This window comes from Homo sapiens, chromosome 7, assembly GCF_000001405.40.
Source record: "Homo sapiens chromosome 7, GRCh38.p14 Primary Assembly".
Taxonomy (NCBI): Eukaryota; Metazoa; Chordata; class Mammalia; order Primates; family Hominidae; genus Homo; species Homo sapiens.
The window spans coordinates 155,743,087-155,759,966 of NC_000007.14; the positions used below are offsets into that span (position 1 = coordinate 155,743,087).

The window sequence follows — 16,880 nt, forward strand, 5'->3', positions numbered from 1 at the left end:
TATTGTAGCAGTTGTAATGTATTGTTTACCAAATTGGAAGTACAAAGTTGAAATATTAACATACAATGAACTCTTATTAGAACACGAGTGACTTTTGGTTTTAAAATCAATATGTGAAAAAATAATGTAGATTTACAAACTGGATCGGAATAGTTTAGAAAGAAGTCTTTGGTAAAAGTTTTATCATACTTCTAGTGTATATAGCCAGCTCCTAACTCAGTATGTGTAACTGATTTGGTTCAGAAAAATGAAGTCACACATTCATAATAACAGGGCTACCTAATAGGGGAAGTTGCCTTTCAGGCATCCTGCTGGCACATCTGGCGATCACTTCCTTCCATGATAGTTGATTTAGGCGAACTTCTAAAGGATTCTTCCATGGAGTTATTTCAAAAAGATGCCTTGAGTGAAATGGAACCTGTAGGTCACCGTAGTATAAATGGAATGTCTTGATTTATTTTCTTTTAATTTTCTCTCTCTATATAAAGGGGACCAGGATTATATATATTTTTTTACTTTTTAGAAGAAAGATCTTCTATTTGTTTTGCTTAGCTAAATGTGACTTATTTTCGTATGTTCACCCCTCTTGATGATGATATAATAAAGGGTGAATCTGCTTATTTGGAGGTCTTTTCAAGTATTTCAGCTGCTGTTCTGAACATGCTTTAACTCTTCCTTGACTGCATGGGAAATTCCGATGACTAGTAATTATTCCTGTGTTTTGAGGCAGTGGCCCCTTGGGTCCTGTGAATATGTCCCCAGCCGTCTGCTTCCCCGATGCCCATGTCCCTTGTGCCCACTATCCCCCTGGACGCCATGTCTTGCTCTGTATGCCTACCCTTGTAAACAGCCTCTCACCCACCTTCATTTTTGCAGTTTGAAATCTGCCCTAGATGTGATATTAGAGAACAGAGGTGGTCGGAATTGCTTCCAGGACGACAAGTAATCCCTGAGTGAGGGCTGGCACCGGGCACTCAAGCTCCAGGGCACCAGCCGACTCCTCAGCTGTGCTTTTGTCTTAAGTTCCTAATTCTTAAGGTTTATTTAGGGAAAGTAAGATGGTGAAATAGCTGAATTCTAGATAGATTAAATCCTGTTACATTATTTTACACGGAGTCTGTGGATATGGATGATTTTTAAAGAATATTATTACAATTCTTTAAAAATGCTTAACTTTTTATACATTTTCCCTATTGGATGCTTTTTATTGAAAGTTACTGGAGTTTTTCAAAGATTTTTTTGTATCGACTTGAAGAATGGTTTGGAACTTGGAATATTAAAGGCGTTCCTTATATACCATTAATATTCCAATACTGCAATCGGCAACATTTTGATTCTGAGGAGAGTGCATGAGTTCAAGGTCAGAGAGATTGACTTGTGCTGTTCATTATAACCAATTATTCTGTGACAAATGAGTTTGAGATCAGGCTGAAAATTCTGCACGAAAAATCAATAGTTCTAATCAGAGCCTTTCAGGTCATTTACACCCCACCTTTTGTTGGTTTGTCAGAGAAGAGCCAGATAAAACCTGTGTGACAGCAGGCCTCCCTACTGCTGCCATTCCTGTTTGAAACATATTTTGATATCTTAAATGAATAGTTTAATTGGTTTCAAACTTGTAAATGAGTGGAAATTTACATTATTTCATTTTTAATATTCTGATAAGATTTTCCAAATTAGCTTTAGCTGTGTGGTTTTTTTCCCCCTCCCCAGAGGAAGGAGTTATACTTAAAGTCTTCAAACAGATTTTGAGTGACTTCTTTCAGATACTGAATTAAAGGACTTGTGGTAAATGTGTTCTTGTAATTTGTTGAAATAGACTATGGGCACCTTGCCTGTATAGCAAAGTAAACCGTGTATGTTTTCCATTTTAGTTTCCTGATGAAGATGAGGAAACAAGGTTATATCGCTTAAAGATAGAAGAACAGAAACGCCTAAGAGAAGAAATCCTGAAACAGAAGGAGTTACGGCGGCAGCAGCAGGCTGGTGCCAGGAAGAAGGAGCTGCTGGAGAGACTCGCGCAGCAACAGCAGCAGCTGTACGCTCCCCCACCCCCAGCAGAGCAGGAAGAGCAGGCACTGTCACCATCACCCACCAACGGTAACCCACTGTTGCCCTTTCCAGGTGCACAGGTCAGACAAAATGTGAAGAACAGACTTCTTGTTAAAAACCAGGATGTCAGTATTTCAAACGTTCAGCCCAAAACATCCAATTTTGTACCATCCAGTGCCAACATGCAGTATCAAGGACAACAGATGAAAGCACTGAAACATTTGAGACAGACCAGAACAGTTCCTCAAAGTCAGACTCAGCCGCTGCATAAAGTGCTCCCGATCAAACCTGCAGATGTGGAGGAGCCAGCTGTCCCCCAGACTCCTCGAGTGGCGTCCATCCAGGGCCGGCCCCAGGACACAAAGCCTGGCGTGAAAAGGACTGTCACGCACAGGACAAACAGTGGTGGTGGAGACGGGCCCCACATCAGCTCCAAGGTCAGGGTGATTAAGCTGTCAGGTGGGGTAAGTTGACAAGTTTTATGAGAGCCTCTTTGAGTCTGTGTATCACATAGAATGTCCTCATTTGCAGAGAATGTTTTTGAAGAAAGAATTAAAAGTTACCTCTGTTATAGTCTTGTAACCAATCTCTACCTACTTGAAGTTGGTATAAGAATTGCCGCTTGACGACAGGCATACATTCTCAGAAATGTGTTGTTAGGCGATTTTGTCATTGTCTGAACGTGCTAGAATGTACTTCCATACACAGACGGTACAGCCTGCTGCACACCTAGGCTATATGGTACAGCCTGTTGCTCCCTGGCCACAAGCCTGTGCAGCATGTTACTGTGCTGAATACTATAGGCAGTTGTCACACAATGATGAGTAGTTGTGTGTCGAAATGTATCTTAGTGAAGGTACAGTAAAAATACAGTGTCATAACCTCATGGGACCGCCTTTGCAGGTGTCGCCCATCTGAGCAGAATGTTGTTATGCGGCACATGCTTCAGTTTTCTCTTTTGAGTCTTAATGAAAGGCCAGTGTGACAATCCCTAAATTAGATATCACTCAGTTTTAGCTTCTTATTGTAGATAATTTGTGATAAAATCATTACGTTTGTTTTGGAAATAAATTTTCCTTTACACAAATCATTTGTGGTGTATAGCTTTAGACTCAGTGAGCAGCTGTGGGACAGTGGGAGTGGTGGGCAGTGCAGGTGTGTGTCTAATTTGAATCAGCTTTGTCCCAGACTACTGGACTACTGCTTGTTTTCTGTTTTCAGTTTGCCCCATTTAAAAAAAAAAAAGCGTCATAGAATTGAGAATTGAAGTCCTGTATGCTCTTCCCACATGCTTTCAGAAGTGGAGCATGCCTCATTTCTTTCTCTTGCTTTTCATCATTGTCCATATCAGGTCATTTTCAGTCAGGCACAGGAAGTGCAGTTTTCCACTGTAGTTTGGATAGGTTCAGTACTCTAAAATAAAACCAGTCACTGCAGATAGATTTCCATTGCAGAAGATTCTTCCATAAAGAAGTGATCTGTAGAACACTTGCTTCTTTATCCCACCATATAGTCTTATTAGTTGTGGTAAGTAGCTCTCATCTGTTGTTTTCATGAAAATGAATTCTATAACAAATACTATGGTCTCTGTAATTGCTCTGCCCTATAACAGTGCTATTCATTGTATGCAATTTATATTATAAACTGAGGAAGAAAGTAGGAAAGTTGTAAACATAGGCTTCTAGAGTAAACCAGCTAGCAACGATTGCTTTAAAAGACACAAAAAATGTATACAGTAAAAAAAGAAAATAACTTATCTCTTTTAGTCCATTTCAGGATGGTAGGACATGTGATCATGTGAAGGAGAACGTTACTTCGTCTCCTTGCTTGTGCTTAAGAATAACTCATTTTGTTAGTTGGTTAATTAGCTGAGATTTAGTGCTTTTATTTCTAGGTTTGTAGAACAAAACTTTGACTTTTTCATGTGCTATAAGAAAATCTTTATAAAATACTGTGATTAGAAGTTCCATATGTAGACTATCCAGTAGGATAGTCTTTATCTGAATCTGTTTTCTCACATCTATTCGTTGTAATTAGAAATGTTGAGAAGAATGGTGTTACATAAAATTGTTTTCATATTATATGAATTTGTTACCTTTAGGTGAGAACTCAAGCACTCAGTTTCTTCAGTGTTTATGGCCCTTTTGCTTTTGACCTTGTTTTTAAGTGTACTGTGTTAATCAGTGTCTCATTCTTTTACTTGTGTTACAGACTTTTTTTAAGATGAGATGTTGGCCATTGTTGGGAATTAGGCCTTTTCCCATAGCAACCAGAACTGGTGCTGTTTGTTACAATGGCCGATGTAGAGGGCTGCATGTACTCTGCACTGGCAGGCTGGGAAGTGAAGGGTCCAGTTTCTACCATCAAAGAGCAGCTTTTACACTCATAAACAGCTTTCCTTTAAAAGAATTTTATCTACATGAATTTTTACTCTTTTTCTCCAATGGAAAAAATTTATATCAGACCTAATTCCAAAATCATGCTAATTTTACAATAAATAGGAAAAACAAAGGAATTTTTCATGAAAATAGCTGTCAAACCAGTACTTTGGAACAGCTCTTTATCTTTTACTTCTTAAGTGTCAACTAGCCCACATGTTCGTATCTTAGGGTTTACTCAGTCCCCTCCAATAGCACATTGGCACTTTTGACCTAGCAGGGAAGATGTCTTGTTCGTATTTCTCTGAACCAGAACAAATAGGATTTGCCTAATGGCATTGTTTTTTGTTTTTTTGTGGGTGAGGACTATTTTTGAGAGAACATATTCCTAATGGTGGTTAATTGCAAATTGTGCTTATTTCAGACAATGCAAAAAGGAAGCATTTATTTTGGCTTGTGTTTCTGTTCCTGGCTGCTGGAGAGGCATTCTCTGCATATGGGGGCTGTGGTCTTAATGCTCAGGGATGTTTCCTGCCTATGAAAATCTTCAGGAGCCGAGGGCTGAGCAGACCTTGGCTGACAGGAGCTTGGCATCTGGGGAGGATTGACTTGTGCATGGCACCCATACAGGATATTATTATCTACATCTTAGTTTTACGATTACTTACTTAATGAAAACATTTTATTGTTGGTTCGCGTTTCCCATTTTTTCTAACCTATACTATATCCTAACCTAAATTACCTCCTTCCCTTTTTTCTAATTTAACTAGTGTAACTAAATCTAATGCATTTAATTCAATTATTCTTTGCATTCAGCAGTCTCCTATTCTTCACGTCTCTAGACAGGATAGCAAACTATCTTTGCATAGTGCCATTCAAGAACTTGTGCTCTGGTGGGTGATTGCAGTTGAAATATGTGTCCACAGGATTGTTCACATGTTTATGAAAGCACAGTTTTCTTGCCATTCTTACTATGATATACAATTTAATTAGGTTTCTGTGAGTGTACTCATGTCTGTGAGGCAATTGTGAATCAAATGGAGTTTTCTTCTATATTTTCCATATGTCATTACTTATAATGAAATAATTTATCGTTGGGTTTTATTAAACTGGGTTTTTTGAAAGGTGAGAGAGGCTGAGTCTTAAGACCATAGGTTTTTGTAGTCTGCCCTGTGGTTAATTATATCGCCTTTCAGGTGATTTTCCTTGGTCCTTGTCATTGTAAGAGAATGTCTAGTCCTTTCTTGGTGGTCCCCTTTGTGGCTGCTGCTGCAGTATGCGTGTGCATAGGGAACATTTTCGAAAAGAGATGAGCAGCATGATTCCTGGTATTGTTTCTTACACGATTGTGTTGACTAGGGTCAACGTCTTGGTTTAAAGCTTGAAAAGTGACTATGCAGATTCAAGGGCTATTGTTGGCATTGCGTTTTGCCGTTGGCTGCTCTGAAATTTCTTGCTGTATAGAGATTGGAGCCTTTCTCTAGGACTGAGAGCTCACCTGTGCACGCAGTCATGTGATGGGGTAAAACAGTGTGGCTTTGGGTGCAGAAAGACTCCTGTTTGAATAGTTGTCTGTTCTTTGGGACCCCGAACAATCATTTCATTTTTCTGAACTTTAATTTCCAATCTGCAAGTGGGGTTAGTAAGTCTGCTGTGAGGCATCAGTAAATGAAAGCTTCTGGTACACAGAAGGCATTTCATAACTTCCCATTTTCTTTGTAGAATGCTTCTAAGGCCCCTTTTAGAAATAAATTATGTGATTTTTATGCCAGATAATAGTAGTGGCTATTATTTATTGAGTGTTTAGCATGTACTCACAACATCCTTCTGAGGCGAGTGCGTTGAATCTCAAAGAGGCTACGTAACCAGCCTAGGGCCGCCGCACACCTACTAGGTGGTAAAGCTGGGCTTCCACCTGTGGGTTAGTGCTGAATCTTACGCTCTTCACCCTTGTCTATGATAGTTGTCTATTTTATCTGCTGTGTTTTTCATGGTGTTATTTGTTTCTTGATTGGGGATAATATTCTACTATTAGCAGTCTAGATTGATTCGGAAAATGCTTAATGGGGGCTCCTAGGATAATGATGATGATGATGATGATGGTTAGGTTTCATTTTGGTTGCCAGTGCAACAGACTGATAGTGACTGCCTGGAACAATAGGCTGAGAAGGATTTGATACATGAAAACGCAGCCTGGATGGTAAGTAGCCTCAGCTTTGAATATAGGCCTGGCGAGTGGCTGGGGTTCCATCATCCCGGTTCCAGAACCTGGGCTGCTGGCCCAGGAAAGGGAGTGCATATTGTGTCCTGGTTAAGAATAGCCATCACTTGCTATGTGCTGTGTGAGTCTATCCTTGAACATTTCTGTGTGAATCAAATTAAGTCACATTTTGCATTTAAAACTTTGAAGGGAAATATTAGGGGAATTTGAAATGGAAAGAGATCTTTTGTTATGAGGCTAATCAATTTCTGTGTACGTGAATTTCCATTTTTTTCCCACTCATTTTACTGTCTGGATTTGCTAGGTGAGATTACAAAAGGAACAAATTAATGCTGCTTATAAGTAGTGTTAGCAGCAAATACTGCTAAAATTTTATGTGCCTTCCTGACTATTAAGTAAATAGTTCATCTGTAGAATTATATTTCATGGAATGGTTCTCTTTTAATTACTTAGAATATAGAAATATTCTCCATTTGCCCATTTCTCAGAAAGCTATTTTTCAGTGTTTAAGAAACCAAAAGAACAACCTTGTTACATTATAATTTTGTTCATAACCTATACATAATTCCCAGAAAAACAATTCAAGTAATAACAGCAAATATAAAAAGTATAAAATATTTACTTAGTGTAAACTTATATAGTCATCTAAAACCAGTCTGTGTGATTAAACACAGGAAAAAGGAATTAGAACAAACAAGTGCCAGGGGAAATTCTTTGCCTTAGGCGGTCAGTTTCTGTCTTCCTATTTAGGGAGAATGGTATAGTCTTTGAAGTGTTTGCATCTTGGTTTTCATTTTGCATCTCTGTAACCTTGGTTGCCTGGCCTCAATGAATCCCAGTTTCCTCATCAGTACAATGAGAACCAACTCTCCTCCCAGGATCCTTGTAAGGATTAAACGTCATAATCATGTAAAGTTAGTGGTACAGTGCTTGAGTATGTGATAATAACTCAATAAATGTTACCACCCTTTTAGTTGAAGGAAAAAGAAAATGGTTTTTTTTTTTTTTGGAGTGGCTGTTTATATTGATCTTTAAGAAAATGAAAGCAAATACCAATTCAGCTGCTTTATTCTAATCAAGTTAATGAAAATTTTAAGAATTTGGCAGCAAATTAAGTAAACAGTCCTTTATTCTGTTGGCCACACAGAGAAATGGGAGCAGCACAGAATGCCCCCGCAGGAAAGCCAGCTGTCCAATTGTGATGCTCTTGTATTTTATTTTTAAAAGGCTGTCAAAATGCTGCATGCCGAAGGTCCCAGTTTATTTGTGGGATCATGCATTTATGGCTTTGGACTGCATTTGTAAATTTCTTCCCTTCCTACCTTCTCAAAAGTTACTCCCACTTTTGGAATGATATGTATATACCTGATCCGTTTTGTGGAGCTTGGGGAGGTGGGAAAGGGAATGTTTTAATATAATTTTAGTTTTAAGAACAGTAGGAGAAACTCTCATACGTTCTTTATCAGATTCACCAGTTGTTTACATTTTGTCAAGTTTGCTTTATCCTGGTCTGTCTTTTTGTTCATTTGCATGCACAAAAACCTTCTTTCCCAAACCTTTGAGAGTAGGTTGGAGACATGGTGTGTTATGATTCAGCACACAGATACTCTCTTACAAAACCATATTTGTACATTATCAAAAATAAAAATTGTTGTGCACTGATACTATCATCTTATCCATAGTACATATTCAGATTTTATTCACTGGACCAATTATGTCCTCTGTAGCTAACCCCCACCTTTCAGGGTCCAGCCAGGATCATGCATTATATTCATAGTGTCCCCTAAATCTGCTGTTTCTTGCCCTTGACCTTTTGAAAGAGCAGAGGGAATGCCCTTCAATTTGGGTTATTTTATGATTCATCCTGATCGGTTTCAGGTTGTCCATATTTGGCAGGAACACCCCAGAGGGGATATCGGGTCCTTCTTAGTGCATTCAGTTGGGAGGTTTGTCCAATATTGACAAGATTAACTTTGATGGGGCGGCGGGTGGGTAAAAGTGATGTTTGCCAAGTCTCTCCTCTGTAATGTTACAGTTTTACCCTTTGTAATTAGTAAAGTAATTTATAGGAAGATACTTTGAGACGATTGGGACTATGTAAATATCCCATTTCTGATCAAATTTTCACTATTGTTAGCAGGCACTGAAGTTTTTCTAATGCCAACACTCCTGTATTTGTTAGCTGTCATGCTCCTGCTGTGATAATTTACACTTCTCCTTCATCTATTTGTTCATTTATTTATGTCAGTGTGGGTGTATGAATTGTTACTTTATGCAATGAACTGTCACTGTCATTATTTATGTTGATTTTAGAATTGTACCAGATTGACCAGTGAGAGCCCCTTTAAACTGGTTTCTGTGTCCTTTGATTTGTTGCCATTACTCTTGGAACATGTCCTCACTTTCTGGTGCAAGAAGATGTTCGAGCTCACCTTGTTCTTTCTCTGTATGGGCTCTGGAATTGGTCCTGCTTCTTGGAAGCTCCAGGTCCTTAGAGTGGAGATCTGGGAGCCAGTTGTGCCCACTGCTTTTGTCTGTCCTGTCTTCTGGGCCCGCTCAGCACATTTTTGATTCTTCTACAGTGAGTTGCAAAGAAAGGAAAATGGCTCATACAGATACTGCTTTTGTACTGTATTTTTTGAAATAGGTCATTGGTGGGAATTAGGAAGTAATTTTTGCTATTTTGATTTCATTTTTTGAATTATTGTAGTTGATAGTTCTAAGAATTAAACATTACTATTTAGATATTTAAAGTGAGTCCCTCATCCTCTATAAACCCAAACAAAAGATTGACAGTCATTATTTGCAAATTTTGTTGAGGTTCTAACCTAAGTGTTGATACATGGAAAGGCATGAGACACAGCTGAGCACTGAGTTGAGAGCTGGGCAGAAACGTGCATCACATGCTTCTGAGGCCGCCCATCGCCCTGTGAGAACCACTGGTCTAAGAACCCATGGAAATTCCTCAGCACTTCGGTTGGGGTTAGAATTTGCTACTGTCACTCCTGCTCCTTCTCTGGAGGTGCCATGTTTCATGCCTCTGGCCCACTTATTACTTTGGATGCAGCTCAAGTGGGTCGTCTTCTGGGACGCCTCCCTGGATGGCCGCTCCCACGCACACTGGTTCGTCCTTTCTTTGTTCCTCTTCTGCAGCCCGATCTTCTCATCTGACCGTGTGTTTTCAGAGCCGGCTCCTGATGTTACTGCTACTTACCTGAGTGGGGTTTTGGTCTTTTTTTGTGTGTCCAGGATGTAAGGCAGTTTCAGGTACATTATAAATGTTTAAGATATTTAAATACTGTGTTAAAAATGGCAACATGGCTTGCACTCTCTTACTGAAGCATAGCAAAGGAGGAATTAGCAGTGTTCTTACCCCTTTCCCCAGTACTTCTGATGATAAAAGTAGTAGTTGTTTCTGTTGACATTTAGATGATACCAGTAAGTAAGCAAAATTTGGAAAAAGACAAAAAGCATGAATCATTACTAATTCTTCTGGGCATTATTTCCTGCAAAAATTTATTATTGCCTCCTGAAAGTCCTCCTTTCTAGATTTGCAAAATGGGATATTTCACATCCTGTTTTGCTGCTGTTTGAATTGTGTTAAGTGGCAAATCTGCAGTGGTAACTTGTTTGTGGTGAAGACCCATGCAAAGGCAGAGCCTCCACCTTGTGAGTGTCATTCAGGGGAACCCACGTTTTTTAGCCTCTAAGGTCCCGGACAGGAGGATGCCGCTGTTCTGGTCGCTTGATTTCTGGCAGAAGGTGACTTCCTAGGATGATCTCTGGCAGCGCCTGGGAGTGGATGAGTAGCAGAGCTAAGGAGGAGCTGAGAGGGGCCAGATAGAAGCGACTCAGAAGTAGGGTTCCCAGTCTGAACTTGCCCATGAGAAGGGCAGAGCTGCAGGTGGATTTCCAACAGGCCAGTTCTGGGAAGACTAGGCAGGAAGGGAGACTGAGTGTAAATGGCTTTTGACACAGAGGTGGGGGCCACGAGAGATGCACATTCAGGTGCTTGGGGCAGGGGAGGAGCGTGGAGGCGCGGGGCAGGCACCTCATGCCTGCCAAGTTGGCTGGGTGGAGTTTGACCTCATTTGTTTAAAGGTGCTAATGAGTGGTAAAATGGCCAACAGGCAAATAGCAAAAGAGTGAAAGAAAAATAGGGCATACAGAATCCTGATTAATCACTTATTTGATAAGACGTACAGTCTAGCATCTTCCTTTTGGAGGAGAAACAGTTGTGCATGAATACTTGTTTTTAAGAGCTTTGAAATGTCTTAGTGTGGGCAGAATTGATAATTTCCAAGGAGACTACTTTTTAAGCATTCTTAATCATGTGGCCTCTAAACATGGCAAGATAGACCATTGGTCATTAGAGGACATAAATCATTTTGAACACATAAGAATTTCCATACTCATTAATTTATGATTTTTTTAGGGGTATGATGTTAGGGAGTAAAATTAGCAGGTGAGTCAGAAATAATTCACCTTCAGCTAGGAATCAGGATTAGCTCACTCACCCACCCCAGCCAGAAGGGGAATCTGCTTTCTTCAATGTCTTAGGTAACTTCCCTCCCCTAACTTTCAACAGCCTACCCAGGTAGGATCCTGGTCACCTGTTCTGCAGAACTTGCTCAGTGCTACAGAGCAGGTCCTTTGGAGCCACTCTTCCAGGGCAGGGTGGAAGGGCCACTTTTCAGAGCCTGGGGCTGCACCCCTCTGTGAGGGACTGTGTGGCTGGAAGAGCTAGACTTCACACCCTGCCTCATAAGCCACAGCATCTGGAGGTGCCTGGCTTACTTTAGTAATCCTTTACTTTTTAGACTGGTAGATTTGTGCTGTCGAAATTGGAGAATCCTGGGGTATGAGATCCCCTCAGAGGCTCAAGGCTTTGGTTTGTTCCTTCAAAGGTCAGCTAATCTTGCTTTTTAAAGATCTCCCCAGGCCTAGCTAATGTCAGAAAGGTAGACTGTTAAGAGAGAGAGCAAGCACTTGAATAACTGTGCCACGTTCTCACCATACCGTACTAGAAAGTCAAATGCATGTGCTAAGAGAACCCTTTTCTTTCATGAAGCTTGGTAGTTAGGAGGTCTGTCCAACCTGGTCTCTCTAACCTTACGGATTTGGTTTTAATTCTGCCTGTGTAGACCTAGTTCCAGATAGGCAGTATTTTAGATGTAAGTGCTCCCCATGTTTTGCATGCTTACTATTTCATGAGGATAATTCATTGCAGAGAAGAAAGAGAATGTGAGCCTGTTTATTAATATTTTCTTTTACCCCCTCTTCTTTAATCCAGTAGTCTTCAGAGAAAAAAATGAGAAGCCCTAAATGTATTTATATTTAGAAACTTCGTACAGCATGCATATCATTTATTGTCCACATTTTGAGTGAGCTTTATAAAGATTACAGGGATAGGCCCAGCATTGTTGTAGTTAATAGAAACCTGTTCAGTGAGGTCTCTGGACTGTAAGATCAGCAACATTGGCGGTGACAGTGAAGTATGGCCTTATCGAAAGGAGAATTCATAAGAGGCTGCCCTGGGACACTACACCCCTGTCCTTCTGTGTGTCCTGACAATGTTATCTGTCCTCTCAGTATGGAGTATCAAATGTCTGTCATGAGTACAGAAATTAATTTAATGTCACCTGAAGACATGCAATTAATCTTTTAGAGGTTTTCATAATACCTTTACAGAAAGAGTTGCCAGTTTGGCGGATTTGGATTTTGGGGTTTAGAAGAAGATAAGGAAAATTAATTTTTCATCAGGGTTAATACAAGTTAGCAGGGCCACAAAGGCTGAGAAAAATGGTTGGGGAATTTGTCAAGTGTTGTCACTCTAGAATAATGCTGCTTAGCGTCTGATAGGTATAATCAAGAGTTGAGATTTCTATAGAGGGGGTTAATCAATTTGCTTGCTAGTGAATGCAAGTCAGTGATAGCACTTCTTCATGGGGTTTAAGAGTGAAAATAAGATTTGATCTGTCAAATTGCAGGAAGCCCTGACAATATCAGTAGGTGTTTTTATCTATGCATTTAAACGATTTGTTATAAATAAATTTGTCCTGCTAATGTTGGGGGCTACAGACCTCTTTTTTTTTGTAATGATTAAGCTGATAAAAAGTATTCCCTAAGCTTACTTAATTCAAATAGTGCCTTTTATAAATATACAAAAAAAACTAGTCTAAAAAGCGATTTTTATAGCATTAAAAGATAATCATTTGTGGGAAAAAAATGTTTCTGGTTTGACCAGAGATGACAAAACTTCTTTTCTCTCTCATGTGCTTTGGAGGAAGTAGAAGATATTTAAAATGCTGTCTGAACCTAGTGTTGTTTGAAGAGTTAAAAAGCGAACACCACCCTGGGAAAATTCAGTTTCAAAGCAAACATACTTTTTATGAATAGAATGTATAGTCTGTCACCCACATACAACACTTATATGTGGATGTTAAGATAACAGCCTTCTAAAATTCAATTTGAATCAACAGTATTTTAAAATTTACTTAACTAAGTACTAGTAATTTTAGGATCTCTTTCAATGCTGTAATTATATGCATAACTATAACCTTATAGAAGACTTATAAATAAATGGGTAGATTTAATTTGGCTTGGTTCTTATTCAAATCTTGTCTGTATGTGTGAGTATAGGTATAAAAATATGTAATCAATTTGTTTCTCAGATGTAATCAGTTGAAGAATTTGTTCCTGGATATTTGTACTACAACATACTAAAATCAAAAGTCAAAATCAGGAAGTTGTTTTGGTATATGCAGTAAAAGGGAATTGAAAGCGTTGTTTCCACATTGATCCTGCCATATAAATTGGGCCAAGTGTGAGTCTAGCGCGTTGCAGTTCACTCCTCTCGTGGTGCACTCTGCTTGCTATTTGTTCTGAGAGATGACATGAAATGGTAGCTGGGATCGTGATGTTTAATCTGAGCACGTTGGAAACCCAGGAGAGGCCGAATGTCACTGTGTGCCGCCCGTGAGTTGGAGTGAATGGTAAAACCCCAGGCGAAAGCACAAGTTGCAAAGTAGGCAGCAAAATTTGGGCAGAAACGTCACCAGCAGTTTCCAGATAGCCGGGTAGCTTGGTGGTGGGTAGCATCTGTGGTATCTGGGTAGTATCAAAACCCATATTTTCCTTTCCCCAGCATGGCTGTTGTAATACCTGATTTTGTGGCTAAAATAGGACTTGTCAGTTTACAAGTAATGATTAGGACCACCAAGCTGTATTAGATGCCATTCAGAGTAACGCTTGCCTACTTCTTGACAGAGATTGTAGTGTCAACCACAGTATGGGCTGAAGTGTACCTTGAAATAAACGTCTGTCCATTGGGAAAGGTGAAATGAAAATTTTCTCAAAAACAAAACCACTAATAAAGTAAAATTTGAATGTGATCAACAGAATCCAAAGGGACAAGTTGAATCGAAGAGTCAATGGGAGAATTTGACCCATGGGTAGAAGTTGTTCACCTGATCCAAACTACGCTCCTGGCCACAACCTAGGAATGTGTATGCTAGTTCACATTCTAGTGTGAACTGGAGTAAAACCCGGGAACTTGAAACTGTTCTGTAGAATTAGCTTTTCCTCATGCTAAGTCAAAAGGGAATAATTGTTCTTTTAATTAGAAAAAAAAATTCATTTTTTTCTTACAAAATGAAACAACCTTTTACTTATGTTCAAGCCTTCATTGCTTAGCATGATCTTCAGAAAAATTCAGAAGCACAGCATTATAGTAGCCCTTCATTTAAAGTGATTTAATTGTTGATCCCGTTTGTTTCAACTCTGTCTGAAAATAGTTTCAAAATATGTTAGTGTAAACTCCTCCCCTGGTTTTGGAGCCACAAAGATGTTCCAGCGCTTATTGTGTGACTGAAGTTTGTTTAATGGGCACAATGAGGATACTACTACTTACCTCTTAGGGAGGTGTATTAGGCAGTTCTTGCACTGCTATAAAGAAATACCTGAGACTGGATAATTTATGAAGAGAAGAGGTTTAATTGGCCCAGGGTTCTGCAGGCTTTACAGGAAGCATGGTGCCGGCATCTACTTGGCTTCTAGGGAGGCCTCAGGAAGCTTCCAATCATGGTGGAATGCAGAGTGGGGAGCAGGCGCATTTCATGGCAAAAGCAGGAGCATGGTGGTGTGGGGTGGGGGGCGGGGCATGTGCCATGCACTCTGAATGGCCAGATCTTTTGTGAACTCAGAGCTTGCTTATCACCAAGGGGATGGCCTAAGCCATTCACAGTCATCCGCCCCATGATCCAAACACCTCCCACTAAGCCCCACCTCCAGCACTGGGGATACATTTCAACAGAAGATTTGGGGAGGGACAAAATACCAAAACTCCATCAGGAGGACTGAAGGAAAACAATGTCTGTACGGACCCTAGTACCTTTCTTGTCCTGTTGTAGACATTCAACAGATATGAGCTATGGATTATTTCACTGCCAGTACTAAGTGAATATATTGAATAATACCAAAACTCTTGATGATTAAGATCCCAGGAGTGCCTTGAAAATTTCCATTATAAAGTTTTATGATATCATTTGTTGCTATATAACAGGGTCCCCAACCTTACTGGCACCAGGGACTGGTTTCTTGGAAGACAGTTTTTCCGTGGACTGGGGTTGGCGGTGGGGAATGGTTTCAGGATGAAATTGTTGCACCTCAGATCATCAGACATTAGAGTCTTATAAGGAGCTGGCAACCTAGATCCCTCGCGTGGGCAGTTCACAGTAGGATTCATGCTCCCGTGAGAATGCCGCTGCTGATCCGACAGGAGGCGGAGCTTAGGCAGTAATGCTTGCCTGCCTGCTGCTCACCTCCTGCGGTGCATGCAGCTCAGTTCCTAACAGGCCACAGACTGGTAGTGAGGGTTGGGGACCCCTGCTGTATAAGGTACAAAAACTTGTCTTGGATATAAGCAGCTCCAGAGCTTACCCAGGCAGGGCTTCTTTCTGCTGAGCAGGTTTGTAGGAAGAGTCTTTCCTTGAAAGTTGGGTAGTCGGCATCACAAGACTCTGAAGCACCCCACTTTCTGTGTCTTCTGGTGTCTGCCTGCCCTGAGGACACTGTGGTGCACATGCCTCCAGGAAGCAAGAGACCACCGAGAGCCAGACCCACTGGGAAGAAAAACCAAGTAGCTGCATCCCAACCTGCCACTGGGACCGAAGAGTCTGTCAGTCTGGGCCCAAGAGCTTCCCAAGCAGGGAGGGGTGCAGCGGCAGGCCCAGGAAGGCCCACCCGGCCCCACGGAATGAGCAGAGGTGGCACTAGGAGGTGAGGTCTCTGTCTGCAGGGACTGTCTCATCACAGGCCTTATTCCTGTCTTTTCAGGCCATTTCTTAGAAAGTCGTCAACGAGGTATGACACCATCACATCAGGACCCTTTCTTTATGTTACAAGATCTGCATAAGGAAATTTTAGTTTTTTTGAAACAGATGAGGAAGAGAAAGGCTTTTTGTAATACCTGTATTTCTGAACTTTAAATAGAGATCAAGCCTACTTAAAAAATAAACTTTCCTTCAATGGAAAATAAAAGTTTAGAAATTTATTTTTCAGAGTTCTTATCTGACGTTAATGTCACCAGACATAAATTTTCACCAGTCTCTTACCCAAAATAATGATGAAGAGAACTTTTTCTTATTCGGGGTATTTATTGACTCAATGTTTATGTTCTTTTTTTTTTTTTTTTTTTTGAGATGGAGTCTCGCTCTGTCTCCCAGGCTGGAGTGCAGTGGTGCGATCTCGGCTCACTGCAAGCTCCGCCTCCCGGGTTCACGCCATTCTCCTGCCTCAGCCTCCTGAGTAGCTGGGACTACAGGCGCCCGCCACCGCGCCCGGCTAATTTTTTTTGTATTTTTAGTAGAGACGGGGTTTCACCGTGTTAGCCAGGATGGTCTCGATCTCCTGACCTCGTGATCCACCCGCCTCGGCCTCCCAAAGCACAGTTTAAAAATTATCAAATTACTACAGTGTTATGTGTTTATCACCCAAGTACACATACACATTGTATACCTTACAACATGCAAATAATAACATCCTCCTTTTGGTGCCACCTATTGTTGTTAAAGTTTCCTCTCTAGACCATCTTGTTTCAAGCTTTGGATTGCCAGGGAAACCGGCCAGAGCATTCGTCTTGCTGTCCGTCATGTTCTGTGAACATCGTTCCCTCCAGGCCAAAGGTACTGTCGCCTCTCTTTCTGCCACGTGACACTTCATGTTGCTGG

General features: G+C 40.6%; 1 protein-coding gene across 1 annotated transcript in view, besides 3 other annotated features; it reads left to right on the forward strand.

The window, feature by feature from the left end:
• Positions 1-16,880, forward strand: part of RBM33 (RNA binding motif protein 33) — a 136,820-nt gene that overhangs the window by 98,426 nt on the left and 21,514 nt on the right. Inside the window, exon 14 of the mRNA NM_053043.3 lies at positions 1,875-2,516. Coding sequence (NP_444271.2) covers positions 1,875-2,516 — 642 coding nt within the window. The remainder of the gene's footprint in view (positions 1-1,874; positions 2,517-16,880) is intronic.
• Positions 9,592-9,821: an enhancer, noted in NCBI's record as "active region_26901". NCBI's record gives its function as "activates an Ori minimal core promoter by ATAC-STARR-seq in GM12878 lymphoblastoid cells {active_cell/tissue: GM12878}" and the evidence as "EXISTENCE:reporter gene assay evidence [ECO:0000049][PMID:35858748]".
• Positions 11,836-13,008: an enhancer, noted in NCBI's record as "VISTA enhancer hs1268". NCBI's record gives its function as "enhancer in: limb[4/6]" and the evidence as "EXISTENCE:transgenic organism evidence [ECO:0001131][PMID:17130149]".
• Positions 15,329-15,623: an enhancer, noted in NCBI's record as "tiled region #9615; K562 Activating non-DNase unmatched - State 17:Gen3'". NCBI's record gives its function as "activates a minimal TATA promoter and a strong SV40 promoter by Sharpr-MPRA in K562 cells {active_cell/tissue: K562}" and the evidence as "EXISTENCE:reporter gene assay evidence [ECO:0000049][PMID:27701403]".